Source organism: Homo sapiens, chromosome 10 (assembly GCF_000001405.40).
Source record: "Homo sapiens chromosome 10, GRCh38.p14 Primary Assembly".
NCBI classification, from domain to species: Eukaryota; Metazoa; Chordata; class Mammalia; order Primates; family Hominidae; genus Homo; species Homo sapiens.
This window is the reverse complement of record NC_000010.11, coordinates 9,616,458-9,641,498: the sequence shown is the minus strand read 5'-3', so window position 1 is coordinate 9,641,498 and position 25,041 is coordinate 9,616,458. Positions and strand designations below refer to the sequence as shown.

General features: G+C 36.2%; 1 long non-coding RNA gene across 5 annotated transcripts in view; it reads left to right on the top strand.

Annotated features, from left to right (window-relative positions):
* LINC02663 (long intergenic non-protein coding RNA 2663) overlaps positions 1-25,041 on the top strand; it is a 434,814-nt gene that overhangs the window by 236,596 nt on the left and 173,177 nt on the right. For all 5 annotated transcript variants that reach the window (XR_930643.2, XR_930644.2, XR_930645.3 and 2 more), the window contains one exon: positions 24,418-24,527. This is a non-coding gene — a long non-coding RNA (long intergenic non-protein coding RNA 2663). The remainder of the gene's footprint in view (positions 1-24,417; positions 24,528-25,041) is intronic.

The following is a 25,041-nucleotide window of genomic DNA, read 5'->3' as shown; positions in this document are numbered from 1 at the left end:
AATGAAATGCTGGAGGGAGGGTAGAATGCATAGTTAATTAATAGGTAGAGACTTTCAGCTTGAGAATATGAAAAAGTTCTGGAGGATGGTAGTACTGCACAACAATGTGAGTATAGTTAATGCCACTAAACTGTGTATTTAAAATGGTTAAAGTGGTATAAAAAATTTATAAACAATAGAAAAAGGCACTTGATTCTGGTATAGTTACAAAAAAAACTTTGTTATCTCTGATAAATTATCACTGTAATATCATACACAACTATTAAGCATTAAAGCAGAAACTTGACTCCTCATACCTCAGCTGTGTTAATGGTTAACTCTAATTTTCTTCTGCATAAGTACTAATAATTCTCCTTTATCACCACAGAGGAGATAGTGACATGTCATTTTATATATACTTGCCTTAAAGAGAGATTTTGATTAGATATATGGGAAAAATGGCATACTAGCATAAAAGCAAATAATTCTTTCTTAAATTTGACGTTTAAAATCACTCAGAGAAGAGAAAATGCATTAAGTGGCCGGTTAGGAAGGAACTTACAATTCTCAGAACTCAAAATATTCTTAAAGATAATTTGAACATAGCTTTGCAATTATGTAAATCTCCATATACCTTAAATGGTTAGGCTGCAATTTAAATCTAATGTATGAATTGTAGGAGTGCATTATTGCCTGAAGGATGCTAAATACTTTAAGCTGTAAACAATATTACCTTTATTAATTGTATGTTATGCTCTAGTGTGTTATTTTTTTCCTCTTGATGAAATCTCTGGTTTTTCAAAGAACTCAGTTTAAGAAGACAGGCTTTGTTTCCTCTTCAGAATATATTCTAAGTCTGATATCCAAGTTCCACACTTCCCTCACTATTTTTCCAATATAGATGCTATCCCTGAAATACTTGTTTATTTTATGTTTGTATTTATATAATTATAGTTTATGTCTACTTGATTATAATTTACAATTACATCTTGTAATAATCACTGAGATCTGAAGAATGGAGAGCCTAGACAAATAATGAAGACAAATAATTAATATCAGCTCAACAGTAATTAATATAAGATCACAGAAGTCCTGGACACATGAAATATCATCATTCTTTTTCTCAAGCTCTGTTTGTCCATTCTTCTTCTGCCTTCATGTGGCACATTTAGTGACAGTGTTCATTTCCTGAGCATATTCAACTATCACAGAAAATAGCACCCACCAGGCAAATTTTACACTTGGAAAAGTCCCAGAACCTATGTTGGGTGAAACTATTTTTGAGGGAGTGGTGGTGATACGAAGGGACTGGCAGAAGAATAATAATGATATGCATCTGCGATTCTAACTATTTCCATATATTGTATCTGCCCTTTTCCTATATTATTCTATTATTCATTGTACTTCATATAATGTGCAGTGTTTTTTGCTTTTAATATCATTTATATACATTACGTTGTTAGGAACTTAGTTGATGACTAATAATTGGAAATTCTCATACAGATGATAAGGAGCAAGGAACAATTGGAAATTATTTCATCAATTACACAGCTAGACCTCACTGTTGGTTGAGTTCATTATCATTCAACACTCAGTGGCAAGATCAGTGATGCAAGAGAAGCTCTGCAGAGCTGTCCATCCTGCCACCCTTCCCACCATGAAGGGTGAATGATTTCACTTTACTAACTCAGCCATTCATCTATTTGTCTCTGTTACCCTTTCTCTTTACTTTTGTTACTTATCTTACTGTACCATCTGCTCAAATCTTTCTCTTTGCTTTACATTCAGGATTCTTTGACAGACTAAATGACCATTAAAAGCTTCCAAAATAGATCATCCTTATTGAATATAACTATTTTGTAGCATAGTCTATGTAACCTGTGACAAGGTTACTTATTTTTGTACCAATCATTCATTCTGGAAATTAGTAATAACGATAACAGAGCTTTTTGGAGAATATCATGTGCCAGAGCTTTTTAAGGATTTTTACATATATTACTTAATTTAATTTGCACTATAATGCTACTGAGTGGTTGCTATTGATACATTTAGCTCACAGAGTCAGAGGTAGCATAAATAAATGACCCATGATTACGTAACTAACAAGTGAGAAACCTGGATGTTGCCTCAGTATTCTGCCTCCAGGTTTTAACTTTGAACCACCATGGTATACTGCTTCTCTGGACATCTTTTTGTTTCTCTGTAAAATGAAGATTTAAGATTCAGACCTGTATATACATGGTATTCTTCATATCACACAATGTATTGTAACTGAGGCACTTAAATTAATTACCTGCTGGCTTTCCTCAGAATGGCACTGGGTGCGTAACAGGCACAACACATTTCCAAAAAAAAAGAAAACCTTTCTGTGTTGTAAATTCTTGGATGGTAATAACTATGTTTTATATTGTTTTCATACCCACCTGCCCAGTACCATGGCTTATGCATGTAGCTAATTAATGAAAATAGTTCCTGGAGGAATGAGATGCTATGGTGTAAATGTTTGTCCCTGATAAAACTCAAGTTGAAACTTCATCTCCATTGTAAGTGTATTAGGAGAGTAGGAAATCTGTGTATGGTATTTGAGAGGTGGGAGTCATAGGGAGGTGATTAGGATTAGATGAAGACACAAGGGTGGGACATAGTGGCTTTGTAGAAGGAGAAAGAGAGACTGAGCTGGCACTCCAGGCCCCTCACCATGTGCTGCCCTGTGCTGCCTCAGGACTCTGCCTGGAGTTCCCAGCAGCAGAACAATCCTCTTCAGAAGTAGCCCCTCGACTTTGGACTTCCCAGCCTCCAGAACTGTAAAAAATAAATTTATTTTCTTTATAAATTACCCAGTCTCAGGTATTCAGTTATAGCAACAGAAAACAAGCTAACTCAGAGAGGGAAGATAACTAGCATGTGAAGTGCCTGCTGTAACCAGTCAAGTCCTAGATACCAGCTAAGTCCAAAAATATAAACATGACATGAACTCCCTGTCAAAAAATAACAATTTCACACCATTCATATGGTATATTGAGAAAGACAAAAGAAAAAAAGTTTAGAGATGTAAAGTAACTTTAACTAAATAATAGAGTTTGTGACCTAATGGGTATGTCATTGAATACATTATTTGAGCCAGTTGTTATTCTGAGTCCATCATATAATTATTTTATTTAGTCTTGTTGGCTTTATAAGGTAGATATTATAAGTAATGAATTGTGATTTACCAACATTGCCTTCTGCATCTGAGGTCTTATTAGCATTATAGAAGAGAAGCCAAGAACTGTATTTCCCGGAATATTTGTCTCTAAATGGTTCTCAGTTAGAGTTAGCCCATGAAAAGTAAGACTTGGAAGGAGGAGAGGAAGAGAGTCCATTATTCTTAGCAGAGAGTGTGGACAAACGCAGTCTGGTTTCAGACATTTTTATAAGCTCTGGCATATCAAATCCTACTGAACTTCTATCTTGCAATTGTGGCAGCCAGACATTGCATGTTCTCAGATTTCTGTGAACTCCCTCTTCACACTTCTTGGGGCCAGATGCTCCAGAATCTCAGACTCTTGTGTGCTTTGACTTTTTCACCTGCTCTGTTCATAAGGCTGAAGTCCTTTGGGGCTGTTTCTCTGGTTCTCCAGCTACTGCCTGCTTATCTAAATCTTCCCTACCCAACCTTGTCTAATTTTTACATTATCTAATCCTTCTATTAAACTGTTTTTTACCAATAAAAATTGTAGTGACTCTTTTTTGAGGACCAAACCCAATTTTCTATCTCCATTTCACAGGTAAAGTAACTGTGTTAAGAGCAGTTAAGACGCTTGTTAACAGTCCCCAGTTAGGAAATGTTGAAATTGAGATTTAAACCCAACAATTCTGACTCCAGAGGCCAAGTCATTATCCAATAAGACTGACCATCACTCTACCCATATGAGAAAATAGGATTCTAAACCAGCTTCAGCTGATTCAAAGATTTTTGCCTTTTCCTCTAGACAAGTAAATATTTCATGGAGTTAAACAAGATCTTAATTTTAGAAGAGGAAGTGAAAGCTACTTGTTAAATCAGAAATTGTATGGAAGTTGGGTGCATGCAGTAGTAGTTATTTTAATATTTGGATAATGATGTTTTCACCTTTGGTCCTTTTGTAGCTTTCTTTCATTTTTATTTAGTTGAGCAGTCATGTGTTTTAGACACCACTAATTTCAGTCCCTTTTTATGTATCCAGGAAAAACACTGACAAATATTGAACATGGGCTATTGTGCAAGAAAAAAAATAAATAACCCAAGATCTGTAAAATAGACATTGGGCTTATTAACTGTAGTGTGTTCACATATACTAGTATGAAAACCAGAATGGACAGATCTTAGTAATATAATATTAACAAAAAAATAGGATCTAAAAGATTTTATACAAACAAATACAATCTGTGTAAAATTAAAAATAATTAAAAACAAAACCATGTAGGAAAGCATGAAGATGTATACAACTACATAAAAAAGAAAGCAAAGAAATGTGGCAGTGGGGTTCGGAATGATGATGATGGCTGATAGGGAGAGTTGAGGAGATATGATGGGGAAACTACAAGATCAGAGATAGATGATTCTTGGCAGCAAGGTCACCTTATTACCATAATAAAAATAATCGGCTTTTAATAGTTCACATTCTGTAAATATACTTAACATAGTTTAAAATGCTAATACTTTGAAATTTAAAACAATATGTTAATTCATTAACATATTCTGTTGTTTTTACTTGTTCTCCTTCCCTATGCTATACACCTTTTCACAAAGAAAATTTGAGAGATTGCTGCCTGCCAGAATTCCACAGAGTATAAACTCACAGAAGAGTTTATATGGAAACCATAGACGTGAGAGGGAGATGGAACAGAATGTTGGTTCTCTAAAGTAATTTTCACCTCTCTTTAAATGTACGTAACTAGTTTCTTCTAAATGCATTTCCTCAGTGCAATAGACATATGTTCTTCTTGAACACCTGCACAGAGTAAGTGTATTCATGTTGAATTTTGCTTTATCTTTGGGCACTGACCATTCAGTTATTATTACTAACTGTGAAGGGTGCTGACCAGATGGCTTTTTGGCTATAAGGCATCTTGTTATGTAAGCTTAGCTCTTGCAAGTAATGTAAGTTATTTCCTCTGCTCTTGGGAAGAGTACAGAAAAAAACGAGTGGGGGGAAATATGGAGATTTTGAGTCACAAAGGCAAGTCTGAGATTAGATTTTCATTGTAATTTAATTGTTCAGACTGCATTTTTACTAGTCCATAACCATTAACTCTTTTAAAGTGTAATGATGTCACAGTGATGATTTGCCTGTAGATAAACTTTTAATAAACATTAATAAATTTGCAGTATCTTTCCAGTGAAGCATGTATTCCCAATTATATTTCTTGCCCATATTTTGATTTATTTTCCTCCAGACCTTAATTCCATTCTAAACTATTGCTTCTACAGCATTCAATGGATACACAAAATAAATTTGTGAAAACTTAGAGATCTATGTTAGACTCAGAATCAAGTAGCTAATGAATTCTACATCTATATTATTTAAAGATATATTTATATGGAGGGGTGCCAGGAACTTTTTGCTTTTGCAGGAGCTTAAGTCATAGGAATGAGTGGGATGGAGAGAAGCAATGAGAAGAAGGAGAAAATGAGTCACGAAGATTGTGGTATGCACTTTGTAAACTATAGAGTTAAGTGATACTTCTTGTATTCTTTATTCATTTACACAATTTATGAAACAGGTACTATGTAAGTACCGTTTAAGTGCCTAGGCTTAACAAGGCAATAATAAAATAAGTCATAATAAATGTGATAAACATTTATATGCAGCTAATCACAACACAAGTTGAAGAAGTAATATGGACAATGGACAAAGGCTTCGCTTACAGAACATGGGAAAATTCACTCTGAGAATAGGGATAAGCACCAAGAAAGCCTTGGTTAGCAGTCATACAAGGAGGTGATGTTTGGGTTTGATCTTAGATAGAAATTCACTGGAGAGAGAATTAGAAATGGAGAGAGTACAAGGCAAAAAAAGAAGAACAAGCAAGCAAAACAATGGAATGCATTAAAAAAAAATCTGGCCGGGCACTGTGGCTCCTGCCTGTAATCCCAGCACTTTGGGAGGCAGAGGCGGGCGGATCACTGGAGCCCAGTAGTTCAAGACCAGCCTGGCCAACATAGTGAAAGCATGTCTCTACTAAAAATACAGAAAAATTAGTGGGACATGGTGGTGCATGCCTGTAATTCCAACTACTTGGGAGGCTAAGGCAAGGGAATCGCTTGAACCCAAGAGGCAGAGGTTGCAGTGAGCCAAGGTGGCATGACTGCACTCCAGCCTGGGCAGCAGAGTGAGACTCCATCTCAAAAAAAAAATCTATGATAAGGGGTACGACAATCACAGCCATGATAGTCATAGGTGGGACAAAGATACCCCAGGATGAGCCAAATAAATTAATACTCTCAGGGACATAAGCAGCTTCTCAGATGCTTTCAGTTGTACAGTGCTCTGAGTGACCATGTACTTGGCTGCTGGTGAGACAGGCAATGTGTAGCTTTCAATTATTGGATGCTTGGGCTTCCAGGACCTCTGCCATCATTGTATTCATTCTTACTAATCTTGATCAATGGCAGAGTCCAGGTCCCTCAGATAACACATGAAAATTACAATTAATTCCCATACATTTTTTCTGCATATTCTATAATCAGATTCAATTTCTCGTCTTTACCTCCATTTCAGGACTTCCACTGTGTTGTGAAAATCCCTAATTCTTCATTAGCTCTTCTTTAAACATTTTCCCCCACGTTCACTCCTGCTTGGCCGTTGCCCATGTTTTCTCAAGCATGACACATGGCTCAGGACTTCACTATGAGACATGTTTCCTTTTGGTTTCCCAAAGCCACTTGCAAATGATCTTTTTCTTCTTTAAAACACCCAGCTCCTTTAACTTCCCCAATGCCAGACTTGACTTTTCTTATCATTCATTGTTGCTGTCATCTATCAGTTTTCCAGGAATACTCCTTCATTAATTGATAACCTCATTATTTCCAGTATTAGTCCTGTCATAATTCATGAAGTCATCAACTCTCCAAACTCTGGTTTTCTATTTGCTTGCCCTCCTTGGGTCCAATGTTAGATTTTTCATCCATTCCCCACTCAGCCATTCAATGGTCTCAAATAATCCACTCCCAATCTACCATCTCCTTTCCTTTAGCTCACTAACTCCATTTCCCCCACGCCAGCATTTCTCCATCTTCATGGAGACAAAAATTTATTTCACTCTCCATTACTCTTCTTGCATTCTATTGTATAGACAACAATCTATTACTTAACATTCAAAACACTCCTTCGACAACACTTCAACGTACTGGTGTCACTCTTCTTATTCACTGGCAAAACTCTATCCCAGGTTAAATTCAACTCTGCACCTTATCTTTGCATGAGCAGAAATCTATGGCAGAAAAATATTATAGAGTATATTGTTTCTATTGTTAATAGCTCTGAACAAAAATTTCAAGTGGACAAGTTTTCTGACACAAATATCACTTTGGCACACAACCGTAAAAAATTATATTACTAGCAAGTTCCCTTCTCCACCCTCTAGGATGCCCATCTCACACTTCTCTCTTTGCAAACACTATATCCCCCATCCTTCACAGCTAGTGACTTCTCTACATACTTCTTAGAGAAAACAGAGTCAGCAGAGAAGAATTATCTTACCTGAAAATACCAACAACTACAGACTAAGTGCAATACTACCTGTGCACTTTGTGTTCACTTATGCTATGGTAAAAGAAATGTTTTTGTTTAAATTTCAGCTCTCCTCTCCACTCATTTCAATTTTGTGCATGTGTGTATCTTTTCAGACTTTTTCCTTACATTTTCCTCTTTCTCCTGTATTATTAATTTCTCTCTTTCTTACTTGATTAAATCCATTGGTGTACAAATATTTCTTAATATTACCTACCCTAAAAAAATACTAAGCTACCCTTGTCCTTCTATCTCTTTGATTTACATTGATGTTTTCCCGCTCTTCTTCATAATAGCACACTTCAAATGATTCTCTATGCCTCAGTCTCTGTTTTCTTTCACTTGCCTCTTCAGTTGACTTCAATAGTGTTTTTCACCACACTGTTTAATTGAAATGGCTCTTATCAAAATCTACAGTATCCTGAATCATCCACACACACACACACAGATTTCATTTTAATCTTCATCCTATTTCTCTTTCAGCAGTATTTGACAAAGGTGACCATATGTGATTGACATATTTTCCTCTCTAGGCTTTAGTGAAATTACACTTCCATGGATTTCTTTTCTTCTTATTGATTTATCTTGCAAACTTACATGCTTACTACTCCTCCTCCACTAAAGACTTCTGACTGTGGTAATGCCCCCGCATCTGTTCTTTCCCATTTACATGATCTTCTTAACCCTATCTCATCTAGTACTGTGGCTTTAAGTTATTGCCTATAAAGTGAATTCTGTCAACATCACTTATAGAGTATGACTTTTACATGTGAATGAGGTTATGTGAATTCCTTAGCTCCAATCATCAAATGACCTCCATTTCATTCAGAGGAAAAGAAATGTCCTCAAACTGATGTGCCTGCCCTTCATTACTTCACTAATCTCTCTCTTATTCCCTCCGCTGCCTACTCTGCTGTGCTTACAGGGTACCCTCTGATTGTCGGATCATCTTCAAGAAGGATAAGTGTGCTCCTGCCTTAGGGCATTTGCCCTGGCTGCACCATCCCCCACATAAAGCTTTGTTCCTGCAAGTGTCCACCTGACTCATTCTAACTATCTTCAAGTTTTGTTCAAATGTCACTGCGTTAAAATCACATCCTCTTTGGAAGTCCTGTTCTTATTTGCCCGAGTCTTTCTCTTCCATAACATTGATCTGCTCCTATCATATTATATGACAATGAGTATTTATTTTTTTGTTTTTGTTCATTTAAAAAAAGTGTTGTCTTTCTCCAGAAGAATATAATCTTCATGAGCCATGAATTGTTTATATTTTTATGTTTTGTCAATTTACATAATCAAGCACCTACCTGTCTGCATTTAATAAAGCCTCAGGATGAATTGGTTGACTGAAGACATGTCCATTGGAGAGGCTATATTTTGAAAAACAATATATTACATTCTGACAACAATATTGACCAACTGGAAATATCATATTTTGGTGGAATTTCAAATTGGTGTAAGCATTTCAGAAATCTGTTTGCCAGTACCTAATAATTCTGAACATAAACTTGTCTAATAAACATGCGATGCCAGTTCTGTATTCTAAGCATCTACCCAAGAAAAATGAGTGTCTGTTTCCTCTAAACACATTCTAAAATAAACATATTCTAAAATATTCATTCTCACATTATTTATAATGAAAGAAAACTTTTAAAAAATTCTAAAATATCTACTCACGGTAGAATGGATAAGTAGCTTCTTTATAATAATACAATGGAAGTTTGGGTACCAGTTAAAAATAGTAAATAGCAATTGCACACAGTGACATGGATAAACTAAAAACAATAGACAAACAAACAAAAACTAATGTTGACAAAAAGAAAACAGACACAAAATAATGACGAACATGTGCTTTTTTACTTAAATGGAATTCAGGAACAGAAACAGACAAAAGTAGTCTATGATAATTGCGGAAAGCATCCTCCAAGATGGCCCCAACTTAGCTTGTGACCTGGAATTCATGCTCTTGCATAATGCCATGCATTTCGGTGTGTGCTTAATGTAGCAACTTGCATGTAGAATAGAGAACATGGTATAAGCAATAGGATGGCACTTCTGATACTGGGTTAAAAAAAAAAAAAATAACATGGCAGCTGTGCTGGGTGGCTTACGCCTATAATTCCAGCACTTTGGGAGGCCAAGGCAGGTGGATCATGAGGTCAGGAGATCGAGACCATCCAAGCCTACATGGGGAAACCCCTTCTCTAATAAAATACAAAAAATTAGCCAGGCATGGTGGCACACAACTGTAGTCCCACCTACTTGAGAGGCTGAGGCAGGGGAATTGTTTGCACCTGGGAGGCAGAGGTTGCAGTGAGCCGAGATCGCGCCACTGGATTCCAGCCTGGCAACAGAGCAAGACTCCATCAACAACAACAACAACAACAACAAACAACAACAACAACAAACAACAACTAAGACAGAAAAAAAAGAAAAGGAAAACATGGCACCATCCATTTATATTCACTATCTATTGCTCATTCTGAGAGAAGCCAGCTGCTGTGTGAAGAGGCCAATTGGTAAAGAACTGAGTGAGACTTCCAGCCAGTAGCCAAGAAATCAGAGATGCCCTTAGTTCCACAGACCAAGAAGAACATCGTTTCTTTTTCTTAACAATTATGTGAGTGAGCCTGGAGGTGGATTCTCCCCAGGCAAGACTCCATAGCCCCAGCTAAGAAATAAACAATAGCGGCATTAGAGAACTCAAGCTGGAGGTACCCAAGCACACACATCAAGATTCCTAGCCCACAGAAACTGTGAGAAAAATAAATGCTTCTGGGGTTTTTTTGGTTTGTTTGTTTGTTTTTGATATTTGGAAGTGGATGCTGCCATAATAAAACTCTAAACTATGGAAAGGTCTTTGGATCCAGGCAATTAATTTTGAGGAGCATGTTAGTAAAAGCTTTTAAATATCTGGAAAAGACTATAGAATATTGGACTTTGGTGAGGTTATTGATGAGAGTTTAAAGGGAAGAGAGAAAAATCTTATTGGAAATTAGCAGCAAGGGGTTATTTTCCTATAGTAGCAGAAAGCTTGTGAACAATGTTGTTGGCCATCATGTGGAAAGCAGAATATGTGCCTAATGAACTGGTGATCTAGCTATGATTTCAGTGTAAAATGTTCAAGATGCTAACTGGGTTTTTTGTTTGTTCGTTTGTTTGTTTGTTTATTTGTTTGTTTTGAGACAGAGTTTCGCTCTTTTTGCCCAGGTTGGAGTGCAATGGCGTGATCTTGGCTCACTGCAAACTCCGCCTCCCAGGTTCAAGTGATTCTCCTGCCTCAGCCTCCCGAGTGGCTGGAATTACAGGCACCCACCACCGCACCCAGCTAGTTTTGTATTTTTAGTAGAGACAGGGTTTCCCCATGTTGGCCAGGCTGGTCTCGAACTCCTGACCTCAGGTGATCTGCTCCTCTCGGCCTCTCAAAGTGCTGGGATTACAGGCATGAGCCACTGCACCCACCCTAACTGAGTTCTTTTTGCTGTTCATAGTAAAATGTGAGAGAAGAAAGATAAATTGAGAGGACTTTTATATAGAAAGAATCCCAGGTGGACTCATTGGTTTTAAAACTGTTCAGCCTATCCAGATAGTTAAAATTAAGAAATGGCTTCTGACTAAAGATCAAAGCTAGGGCACTGCCAGAAAAATGTAGTCTAATGATAAAGCAAAGAGTGTGATTGTAAACATTTTGTTAAGATCTGAGAAAGTGAATTATGTGTTCCAGAGTACTATTCAGTCACACAAAAGGCTCTTTAAAGATATTATGTCTGCTCTCATTCAAACAACAGCGGGATGTAGAGGGATGCTATCATTCAAACAACAGTGTCTCTAGGAAGATTAAAGGCAATTTCTCTCAGCAATCTTGGTAGAAGCCCAAGGTAGGGAAGTCTTACCTAGAAGAGATCTGTGGATGTGGCATTTGTCCAGTGAAGTGAACCAATGAGATTGTTAGGAGGCCCACAAGGTTTTTGTGAGGATTTTATTATATAAGTTAAAAACAATTACAAACATCCAATATTAAATTTAATAATATGTGTAAATCATATTATTCAACACTTTGTTGTATAGAAAAATGGAAATTAAAGGATGCACCTCTAGAGCTAAAGAAAACCTGCAGCTAGAGCAAGCAAGATCTTTATGCAACACACACTCTCTATTTCCTAGTTCTGCTAATGGAAACCAACCTTTTTGTGAACAAATACATTTCTGTTTGTATCAACAATAGTCATGGTCATTAAAGACTGGATTGATTCCCATGAAAATATCCTGTACTGAGTTCACCTCAGAAGGGGAATGAAATGAAAAACTGCATGAAACTCCTTTTTATACTGCACTGACTAGAAAATAGACCTCATCTTTCCATAAGAGTGATCTGTTTTATTTAAACACAGGATGGTTAAGATAAAAAAAAAAGAAAAAAAGAAAGGCTTATCAGGCCCATGACAAATAAGATATCCCAATATCAGGTCGGCTGTTATGTTTTAAGAGTTAGGTGTCAATTTATCATGTTTTTCTGGACTATTACTAATCTCCCATCTCCCATGCCATCCAATATTTCTTTGTCCCATTTTATCTAAAATCTTATTTTGCCAATAAGTACCATGTCTATGATAAACAAGGAGTTTTATTAGCCAGCTTTTGTTCAAAGGAAGAAATATGAATAGAATATATTGTTTTTTATGTAGTCACTGAAATAAAACTCTTTGGTAGCTTTGATCAAATTATTTTTGTTTGACACTGGACAAGTCATTTCAAATAATCCAGTGCATTTTGAAAACAATGTAGAGAAGATTGTAAAAGGTACCTAATGGTTTTTATCTTCAATGAACTATGCTATTCTGGGTTAAGAAAGGCATATTTGATGGGAACAGAAAGAAATGAGCTCTGATGAAAAATATTGTAACAACCACCCAGCTTCCCATAACACTAATGGCATCAGTAATAAGTGTAAGGTGGTTACTTTTCTCTGCTTTTAGTATTAAGGATAATGAGACTTTAGCCGCAGTAGAGAAGAGAGCTTCTCCCTGAAGCTGGGAAGATAACAGCTCCAAGATGTAGGTAATATGTGAATAGGAGATTCAGATGGAACCATGAGTCACTGGAGATGATTTAGAAAGAATTTTAGTTGATTAAATCTTTGACTTCATTGTAGTTATTTTTCTGATGTCCAGATGACATTTCAGTTCTGAGTATTTTTTATCAATTGGACTTGATAATAATTGTTAGCACAGGTGCACACTAACACTAAAATATCATTCTCTAGGCCATTAGTGCTTCTGTAGTTTGAAAGTCACATGCAATAGTGCAGGAGTGGGAAAATAAGTCATGCTCATATGTGCTACAATGCTCTTATAGGTAAGGTAGGTATGATTGAAGCATAGAAATAGCCATGATAGTTGAAATCTCAAACATTTATTTTGGCTTCTGGTTTCAACTACTTTGGTCATTGTCATTTACATTATTTCTCAAGTTGCTGTGAAATAACGTAACAGCACCAGACCAATCTGGGTCAGCTTTTATGTAACAAAGTTGTGCATTGTTTTTTAGTTGTCATGGACCCCCAGGTCAGATAACCTGAGTATGCTCAAATGAACTGGGTGTATAATCACAAGGGGAACTTCAGTGCCCTACCAAGGAGCAGGGACTAAATTAAGAAGGGAGATCATATGGTAGAATCCAATATCCAATCAGATTGAGCTCTGGCATCACTGCCATGGCAGAGTCCAGTTGGATACTTCCTCCCAACATCAGGTCATTGCAAGATCCAATCCAATCACACCTAATTACCCTATGCTTATAAAGCTTGACCCAGCTCCCAGCAGAGGGAGACATGGGTTTGGGAACTATCTGTGGTGTTCTCCTTACCTGTCACAATAAAATCCCCTGCTAAATCCTCCTAAGTTATGATTATTGGGTTGATACTCGCCAAGCAACAGAACCCACCCATTGTATGGGTAACAATAACAATGATTTTTGTTCATTTATTTGTTTGGTTGTTGTTTCTTCACTTCCAAGTCAACCTCTGGTAAAGATCCTAACAAACTATGGAATGATTTATGACAAGAAGTGGGAAGAAATTAGAGTCCCAGATAATTCATTCACTGGCTCATCTTTATAGCCTCCTCTTTCTAGATCAGTGATTGGTAAATCTTGGTTGCATTAAAGGACCTCAGCATATGTATGGTGTGTGGAGGAGTCCACTGATTTACAAATGCACTTCCCAGATTTAAAATTCCTTCATTTCAAAGGAACATGTAAAGAGAAAACAAAGAAGTTGAAGTACTGGGGAGTAGAGGCTTGGCAAAGAATCCAAAACAGATAATCCTATACTATTACATGCTTTTTCTCAAAGTGATACTATAATATATGAAAGCACAGACATAATTTACTAATGTGTTTTCCCCCTTCTAGGGTCCATCACAGGGATTAAGACCCAGTAAACTCTGAGATAGTTTTGCATCAATATATCAATAAAAAATCTATAAAACATGCAAATGTAGTAAAAGAAACTAAAACCCCAATGCTGATACAACCCTACATGTATCATTCCCTCACTTCGTCCATCTCCTTAATTGTAAATTTATTCCTCAAGTTCTAGAATGTATTCCCTAGGGCCTAAGTGCAAAGTGTTTGGAGGTTTCAAACCAGTCATGCCGGTCTCTAGTTCATTATTTCAAATCCAAAGGAGTTAAAACCAAACCAGGTGGAAAGAATTGCTTTAGCATAACACATACAGTATTCAAAAACAGTAATGATGCATTCTACTGAAGGAATTCATGAAGTCTAAGCACTCAATTACCTGAGATATGGTTCTACAGTATTCTCTATTTCGAATATACCTATGTATAATCCACAGAATGGTGAATTTAAAAAAAAATTTACTCTGAGACTGCTAAAGGCTTAGGAATTTTAGTACTTTTTCACACCATTTGTAATTGTATTGAATCACCAGTAAGGAAGAATCTTAATGGCGGAAAAGTAGTTATTCTCTTTGCTAAAGATTTGATATTAAATATGTCATTGATTGTATTTTTAGCAGCTGCCATTGACTAGAAAGAAATTTAAACTAACCCAATATTGTCAGCCACATAAGGGAACTTGACCAGGAGGCAGTAGAATGAGGAAAAATGTTTTCCTAAGTTAGGTGATATTTGCCTTCATTTGTGGTTATTCGACATGCTCATATTGGGACCAGATTGCCATAAAATGGGTTGAAGTTAAGGAATAGTAAGATTTACTATGCCAAATTATCTGCTTTGATCAGTTCTTAATGCCCTGTAATATCTGGAGAATTGTTGCTTAATATGATGAACCTGTCATACAAATAATTTTAATCTAAATTTAGAGTTACAAAGTGTTACCTGCTTGAAAAATTATTCCAAAGCTATTAAAATACTCTAAGGTTGGATAACTGCAATCTTTGTATATACAATCCTTAAAATCCAAAAATCATATTGTCGGGTGGTTCAGAGGAAAAACTTTTAGCTTATTGTAATACTATGTAGTCTCAGAAACTCTACCATAATATACATTAACACAAAGCAGGTATTATTTTTACATAGGAACACATTTATCATGGGTTAGAGGGGTGTGGTGTTTTTTTTTCTTAAATATCCACATTTATAAACCATTGAGTCATCAAAGAAAAAAATACAACTATAAACTTTATATTATCCATGATTGCAATATCATTTTCCAAATCCGTAAAAGTGTGTGTGCATAAACCCCTGCAGTCGTATTGTACTTTAGTCATGAAAAAATGAATGCACTAAAGATAATGAGTCTGTAAATAATTGTGCTTGTTTTCTAAGAATTTGGAAAGACTTTAAAAGGGTTCTGTTAAAAATGTAAAAAGTGTCCAGGGTGGCTTAATCTGGTTCCTTCTTTTTCTTTCTAATGATTTCCCTTGTGGCATTTCAAAATCCTCCCATTAACATGGAGCAGCACTTTGAAAAATTGCCTGGAGTTTTTCACTTTTGCTTTTAGATGACAGAACTGTGCATCAATAAGCTGTTGAGTTATTGAATAAAGTCTCCAAAAGCTAAAATGGAAGACTAAATGTAGCAATATGGATCTCCTGTAAGGGTGAAATTCAAAGCTGCAAAAGGTAGAAACTGCCTCTCCTTGACAAGTGCTAGGTGAGCTTAAAGAAAGGCACATTTAGAGATATTGCATAATAAGTGCATTCTCTCAGCTCTATATTTTTACTCTATGCTGACTGTGTTGCATGCTTGCCTATGGGAAAAACTGGGGCAAGCTATGCAGCAATTTAGACTAGGAGGTAATCTAAGAGGTTATTTAGTTTAACCTTCCTTGGAGTGCAGTAATATCATCTGTAGCAGTGATGCTTAAATGTTTATTTTAATAGCAGACACTTCCTTTAAAAAGAATTCTACTTATAAACAGTATGCTAAATAGAAAAAAAAGTTGAGTTACTCTGGCTGGGAAAAGCAACCATAAAATTCCTCTTTCCCACAACCTCTTCCATAGAGGTGCAGGGTCCTCAGGTCTCTGCTAAACACAGTGTGAATGTCCCCATTCTCTAACTTCCTGGAGAGGTGGCTCACCACTTAACAAGCCCACCCACTCTGATTAGGGGCAACTCTTAGTCCTAAATTGTGCTACTTACCTTGAGTCAAAAATATGTTTCACATTAATTTCCCACTAGTTTTGCCCACCAATGCTACTTATATCAATTCTATTGACTCTTCCCCACAAGAACTCTTCAAACATTTAATGCCTGGTATTAAAGCCAATGTAAACTTTTTCTTCTCAACAACTTTCAGAAAATACTGAAGCCCCTCTTATGTAAAGATAGTGTTTATTTTCTTAACACATGCCCAGCATATATGCTTTGTATGTGTTAACCTACAGCAATCCAATGACTAGATTCTATTATTATTATTTACATCTTTCAGAGTTTACTGAGGGGTCCAGGAGGTTCCTCCGGGTTATATGCCTACTAAGTGGTAAAGTCAGAGTTTAAATCTTATGTTATGCTTTTTAAATCAAATTATCATGAGTGAAAAATTCTTTATATCCAGTATTTTGGAAATAGTCTTTTATCATAAATATGTTCTGCAGATAAGTTCTTCCATTCTGTAGTCTGCATTTTCATTTTCTGTAGAGCAGATTTTCTTTACTGATACATGACTCATTTTTCTTTTATGGTTTATACTTTTTATTTTAGTTTTTAAACTAGAAGTTTTATAGGTTTGGCTCTTGTGTTTAGAGCTCTAAGCCAGTTAAAAATAATTTCTGATATGAGATAAAGATTGAGCTATTTGTTTGTTTTTCCATATAGATATTGATATATTCCACCACCGTTTCTTGTGTTGGGGCCAAGGAAAACTTACCCTTTACTCTCTGAAGGTTTCCTGAAAATCACTCATGAGAGGCAGATGAATAGGAGAAAGGCACATACATTTATTTGATTATGGTTTTACTTGACACAGGAGCCTTCAAAATGAAGACAAAAGATACAGAGGAAATTGTCTATTTCTATGCTTAGATTTAAGAAAATATGGGTAGCTGTGTAGAGATATGATTGGATAAAGAGGGTATAATCTAATGTTGATAGACTTAGTAGGGAAACCCAGCAACTTTAGTCTGTCTGTATTCTGGGGGGCCTCTTTGAGTATGAATTTGTTTTCATTTTGTAGGAGTAGGACACTCTTTGGAATGGGGATCTTATGACCAATAGTCAAACAGGGTTGATCAGCTAATGTTTTTATGGCCAGTTTTTATACAGAAAGGTGTGGGGAAAGAGTAATATTTTTAGGTTTTATGGCTGGCTTTGGGGAAAAGGGGTTCTGGTTTCTTTGACTTGCCTTGGGGAAGAAAGTTTCTAGTTTTTCTGGCTAGACCCTAAGGGGATAATAGGTTTACTTACTGCCCTCAGAGGACAACGTTCAATGATTAGCCTCTGTTTATGATATTAGTCACAAATTTCACAATGAAATTAGTTTATATTTATTGAATGTCTATGAGATGGTTAATATTGAGTGTCAACTTGATTAGATTGAAGGATGTAAAGTATTGTTTTTGGGTGTGTTTGTGAGGGTATTGTCAGAGGAAATTAACATCTGAGTCAGTGGACAGGAAGAGGAAGACCCATCCTCAATGTAGGTGGTACCATCAAATGGGCTGCCAGCGCCACTAGAAAAAGCGGGTGGAAGAAGGTAGAAGAAGCTGGCTTGCTGAGTTTTCCAGTTTTCATCTTCTCCTATACTGGATGCTTCCTGCTCTTGAACATCAGACTCCAGATTCTTTGGCCTTTAAACTCTAGGACTTACTCTAGTGGTGTGCCAGGGTCCCTCAGGCCTTTGGCCACAGACTGAAGGCTGCACTGTCGGCTTCCCTACTTTTGAGGCTTCTGGACGTGGACTAAGCCACTACTGGCTTCGGTTTTTCTCAGCTTGCAGACGGCCTATCATGGGACTTCACTATTGATTATGTAATAAATTCTCCTTAATAAACTCCCTTTCATATATACATGTATCCTATTATTTCTGTCCCTCTGGAGAACCCTGACTAATACAGTCCACCATTTACAATGAATAGTTATTTAATCCATAAAGGATCTTACCGACCACCTAACCAAATCTTTCTCTTTAGAAACTATGTACTGGGGCCAGGCATGGTGGTGCACACCTGTAATCGCAACTCTTTGGGAGGCCCAGGTGGGAGGATCGCTTCAGGCCAGGAGTTAGAGAACAGCCTGGATGACATTGAAAGACCTCATCTCTACACAAAATGAATAAATCAGCCAGGCGTGGTGGTACATGACTGTAGTCCCAGCTACTCGGGAGGCTGAGGCAGGAGGATGAATTGAGCCCAGAAGATTGAGGCTGCAGTGAGCTATGATTGCGCCCCTGTACTCCAGTCTGGGTGACAGAGTGAGACCCTGTCTTAAAAGAAACAACAAAAACAAAAACAACAAAACCCCACTAATTAACTGGATATTTTTTATTCCTAAATTTATCCTGAAGAAAGTCCTCCTACCTACCAACTCCTGTTGATGAATATAAAGCTTATGGGGAAGGGAAGAGAGAAACTCAATTGTGATGAGTTCATAGCAGATGGCACACACTGTGTCACCATATTTGCCTTCAAAAACCCTGTGAGCTGTGTGCTAACATTCCTTTCAAACAGAGAAAAGTCTGAGATGAAATTCGAGCCACCCTGTCCTCTTGACAAAGTTGTGTCACCATGACAATTGTAGACACACCTAAAATTTATTATTAGAATATTCCAAGGCTATGCATATTTAATTGGAAAGTGATATAGTAGATATTTAAAAACACATAGACATAAGAATTAGAAGACTGAGTTTTAATTTAGCCCATACCTCTTGATGTCTGTACCATGTGACAATTCACTTAATATTCATGAGTCTCAATTTTCTCCATTTATAAACGGGGTTAATTGTAACATATGTATTATTATTAGAATTAAATGTCATATTAGGCATTGGAATTATTAAAAACGTAATAAATATATACTAACCTCCTTGTCTCTTTAACTAATATATAAATATATAAATGACAGGAATGGAACAAGTAATTTCCCCCACAACAGGGTTTTCCAATCAGCAAATTTTATACATATACATAAATTATGTATAACTTACTTATAATTATATATTACATATAATTTACTTACATAATTATAAATTCTGTATAATATACCTTATTATATAGAATATATAGTTTATTACATAGGTTATATGATAATATATCAGTGATATTTATCATCTATTTATCTTTTTAGTATAAACATTTTCTTATATATTTTCAGTATATTCTGAGTTTCAAAGTCAAATAATTTGCAGATATAAAAGACAAAGTTTTATTCTCCTTGATAACTTCAAGATCCATGTTTTCTCCTGCAGAGAATCAGAACGAATATTTTGAGGACTTTATAAAGTTAGCTTTTGCAGGATCACACTTGAGAATTACCTACTATAAAATTTCTATACACACAGGTCACAAAGATCACCCACAAATCATAAAAAAAAAACAAAATTCTTTTCCAGACTATATAACTAAATCTGGCATTTGCTTGCACACTTTGTCTTTGCTGACAAATAATACACTTAGTCTCTCAATCGTAAGAAGCTCAATGTCTTGTAACTTGACTTAAACTCTCAGACTCTGTCTTGACATAGATTCTCAGTCTATGGTAGAGTAAGTTGGAGGATTAAAAAGAAATATATAAAATTAGTCATCTTTCTCCCCATCATTTATAGCCATGGAAGTTGTTTATTGTCATAGGCAGTCTTTAAATCTGAGCTTCTTTTCTCGTAAACTGGTATTTGCTCTTTCTCTTATCCTGCTATGAATCATAATGCTGTTAGTGAAGCGGTGTCGTTCGTTGTCTGGGGTAAATACCCAAGGTCTGTCGTCTCTTGCCAAGAAGATTAAGGAGACAGACAAAGAGGAGGACTGAGTTTAGGAGTGGAGGTTTAATAGGCAAAAGAAAGAGAAAGGAGAACAGCTCTCTCCCTTGCGAGAGAGAGAGAGAGAGACAGAGAGAGAGAGAGAGAGAGAGAGAGAGAGAGAGGCTTCCAAAAGGAAAATCTGGCCTCTTGTGGATCGTGCTAGACTTTATAGGCAGGCTTGAAGGGGCTGTGTCAGATTTACATAGGGTCCACAGATTGGTTCAAGCAGATGTAACTTTTACATACCACCAGGGAAGGCTGGTCACCCCACCCTAATCTTATTATGCAAATAGGGTATTTGCCTGCCTAGCGCCATATTTTCTTCTCCTTACTCTACACGCAATTTGGCAAAGAGAAGGGAAGATGGAGCAGCTATTTTGAACATGCCTAGTCCCATGTAGTATATTCCTGTGGGTACAACTGCTGTCATTCACCCCTGCAAGCTCCCAGCTTGCTTGTCTGTGTCTGCAGCTCACTTTTACAGACTGCTCTTCGTTAGGAAAGAAAATGATTTGGTGGCTGCTTTTCATTAAACGGCAGACCTTACTGAGGACTCCTATGCCCTTGCTATCTGCCTAAATAAATTCTTCTTAACTCCTACATCATTAGGTTGGTGTAAAAGTAATTGTGGTTTTTGTCATTTTAATGACCCTATCTCTAAATCTGGTCACATTCAGAGGTACTAGGTATTAGGACTTTAACATATGAATTTGAAGGGTGTGGATGAAATTCAGCCTGTAAGGGTTCCCATGTCTGTAAGGTGTTGCTGTGATTAAATGAAATGCTATTTAAGAAGGAGCTTGCTGCAAAACCACCAAATAAGGACTAAAATCATTAGCAATAATTGCTACTTCTGACATTTTATTTCAGGAGTAATGTCTCTTGGTAATTTTTATTACAGCTGTATTGACGTATAATTTTCATACCATAAAATTCACTCTTTCAAAGTGTACAGTTCAACATTTTGTTAGTATATTCAGAGTTGTTCAATCATCTCCACAATCTAATTTTAATATATTTTCATCTCTTCCTAAAGAAACCTCATACCCATTAAAAATCACTGTTCATTCCCTTCTCCCCTTAGGTACTAAAAACCATTGATCTAGTTTTCTATCTCCATGAATTTGTCCATTCTAGACATTTCCTCTAAATAGAATCTTACAATCTGTGGTCTTCTTTCACTTGGCATATCTTCAGGTTTGTTTATGTTGATGTATAAGTACGTATATTAGTCTGTTCTCAGGCTGCTAATAGACATACCCAAGACTGGGTAATTTGTAAAGGGAAGAGGTTTAATTGACTCACAGTCCCACGTGGCTGGGGAGGCCTCACAATCATGGCAGAAGGCAAAAGAGGAGCAAAGTCACATCTTACATGGTGGCAGGCAAGAGAGTTTGTGCAGCGGAACTTCACTTTGTAAAATCATCAGATCTCATGAGACTTATTTACTACCATGAGAACACTATGGAGGAAACTGCCATCATGATTCCATTATCTCTACCTGGCCCAACCCCTGACACATGGGAATTGTTACAATTCAAGGTGAGATTTGGGTGGGGACACAGCCAAACTGTATCAGTACTTCACTGATTTTTATTGCCAAATAATATGCCATTGTATGGATATACCACATTTTGTTTATCGTTTATCAGTTGATAAGCATTTGAATTGTTTCCATATTTTCACTTTTGTGAATGACACTGCTGTGAACATTCCTAAAATTGTTATATAGACATATGTATTTATTTCCTTCTCTTGGACATATACCTAGGAAGGGAATAACTGGTTCATAAGGTAACTCTATGCTTAACGTTTGAAGGAACTGCCACTGTGTTTTCCAAAACTGTTGTACCATTTTACAATCCCATTAACAATATATCAGGGTTCCAGTTTCTTTACAACCTTGCCAACATTTGTTATTGTCTATCTTTTTTATTTTAGCCATCTTAAAATAAAATAGGCATGAAGCAGTAGCTTATTGTGATTTTGGCATACATTTTCCTAATGACCAATGAGGCTGAGCACCTTTCTATGTGTTTATTGACAATTTTTATATCTTATTTGGAAGAAGATCTATTTAGATCAATTAGTCATTGTATAACAGAGTGACCTTTTGCTATTGAATTTAAGACATCTTTACATAATCTGTATGAATCTCTTATGAGACCTATGATTTGCAAATATTTTTACCTATTTGGTGAGTTAACTTTTCGCTTTCTTAATGACATTCTTTTTTTTTTTTTTTTTTGAGACAGAGTCTCACTCTGTCGCCCAGGCCGGACTGCGGACTGCAGTGGCGCAATCTCGGCTCACTGCAAGCTCCGCTTCCCGGGTTCACGCCATTCTCCTGCCTCAGCCTCCCGAGTAGCTGGGACTACAGGCACCCGCCACCGCGCCCGGCTAATTTTTTTTTGTATTTTTAGTAGAGACGGGGTTTCACCTTGTTAGCCAGGATGGTCTCGATCTCCTGACCTCATGATCCACCCGCCTCGGCCTCCCAAAGTGCTGGGATTACAGGCGTGAGCCACCGCGCCCGGCCCTTAATGACATTCTTTGGGTACAAAGTTTTCTAATTTTGATGATTGTAGATCATCTAATTTTGATTATTGTAGATCATCAATGTAGTGGATACTAATGTATTCATTTGTTGTTGTTGTTTGTGCTTTTGGCATCATATCTAAGAAAATATTCCTTATTCCAAGGACAAAAATATTTACTTTCACATTTTCTTATCAGATTTTTATAGTTTTACTTCTTATGTGTAGATCTATGATCTATTTTGAGTTAATTTTTATATATGGTATGCAGGAGGGTCCAATTTCATTATTTTGCATTTGATATTCATTTGTCACAGCACCATGTGTTTGATAGATAGTACTTTCCCAATGGAGTTGTCTTGGCATTCTTACCAAAAGTCATTTGATGATAAATTAAAAGTTTATTTCTAGAATCTTATTTCTATTCCATTGATTTATATTAGAAGTCTATCTTTTTGTAAGTACCACACCTTTTTTATTACTGTGGATATGTATGAAGTTTTAAACTTGGGAAGTATAAATCATCTAGCTTTGCTGATTTCCAAGATTGTCTCAGTTAGTCTTGTTCCCTTGCATTTTCATATTCATTTTAGAATTTGCTTGCCAAATTCTATTTTTTAAAAGCAGCTTGGGTTTTGATAATTATATTGGATCTATAGATCAACTTGTGGAGTACACCCTTTTTTAGAAATATTAAATCTTCTGATCCATAAATATGAGATGTCAGTCCATTTTTAAGTTTTCTTCAATTTCTTTCCATAATGTATTGTAAGTTTTGTTATAAAACTCTTACACGTGTTTGTTAAATTTCTTCATAAATATTTTGTGTTTATAATATTGACAATTAAAATTTTTTAAGTTCATTTTTGGATTGTCCATTTCTAGTATGTAGAAATATGTCTATTTTTTTAAAATATTGAACATGTGCCTAGCTACCTTATTGAACTTGCTTAATAACTCTGATAGTTTTCCACAGGGTTTCTTACATTTTATTATGTACAAGATCATGTCATCTGAAAGTAGAGGTAGTTTTATTTCTTTCTTTTCAATCTGGACATTTTTCTTTTTTAAAACTTGTATGATGCCCTGGATAGACTCCAGAAAAATGTTGAATAGAAGTGAAACAGACATCCTGCTTTTGTTTATTATCTTGGAGGAAGAGAAACTCAGTTACCCCATTTAGTATGGTGTTACATGTGAATTTTTCCTACATGCCATATATCAGGCTCAAGAAGTTTCCTTCTATTGCCTGTTTGTTCATAGTTTTATCATGAAAGGGTGTTGGATTTTTTCAAATGTGTTTTATGCATATGTTGACATAATTATGTGGTTTTTGTTCTTTAGTCCATTTAACATTGACGTATTACATGGATTGCTTTTTAGATGTTAAACTAACTTCACATTCCAGGGACAAATTCTATTTGATAATGGTGTATTGACCTTTGTATATATTGCTGGAATTGTTGTTCTATTATTTTGTTGAGTATTCTGCATCTATATTCATAAGGGATATTGGATTATAGTTTCTCTTAATAGAAAGAGTTCAAATTTTATGTAGATCTATATTTCCCTCTGATCACTGAGGAATCAAAAACATTTTATTTTCATTAGGGCGCAACATTGTTTCTACCTAACAAAATCTTATGCTTAATTTCAATACCCACATACCTCGTTTTATAGCACTTTGCTTTATTTTACTTTGCAGATATTGCAGATTTTACAAATTGAAGGTTTGTGACAACTCCCTCAAGGAAGTCTGTTGGTGTTATTTTTCCAACAGCAGGTACTCACTTCATGTCTCTGTGTCACATTTTGGTAAGTATCACAATATTTCAAAATTATTATTGTTATATTATTATATGATAATTTTTATATTATTATTTCTGTGATCAAGGACCTTTGATATTACTATTGTAGTTGTTTTGGAGTGTCATGAACCATATCCATGTAAGACTGCGAATGTACTAAATGTTTGTGCTCTGACTGCTCTACCGGCCAGCCATTCTCCCACTCTGTCTGTCCCCTCAGGCCTCCATATTACCTGAGACAGTTTTGAAATTAGGCCATTTAATCACCCTATAATGACCCCTAAGTATTTCAGTGAAAGGAAGAGTGGCATATCTCTCATTACAAATCAAAAACTAGAAATGACTTTCTTGAGAAAGTCATGTCAAAAGCTGAGATAGGCAGAAAGCTAAGCCTTTTATGCCATGTTGTGAATGCAAAGAGACAGTTTTGGATAGAAGATCAAACCAGCCTCAACCTTCCTTTAAGCCAAAACCTAACCCAGAGCAAGACTCTAACTCTCTTTAATTCTGTGAAGGGTGAG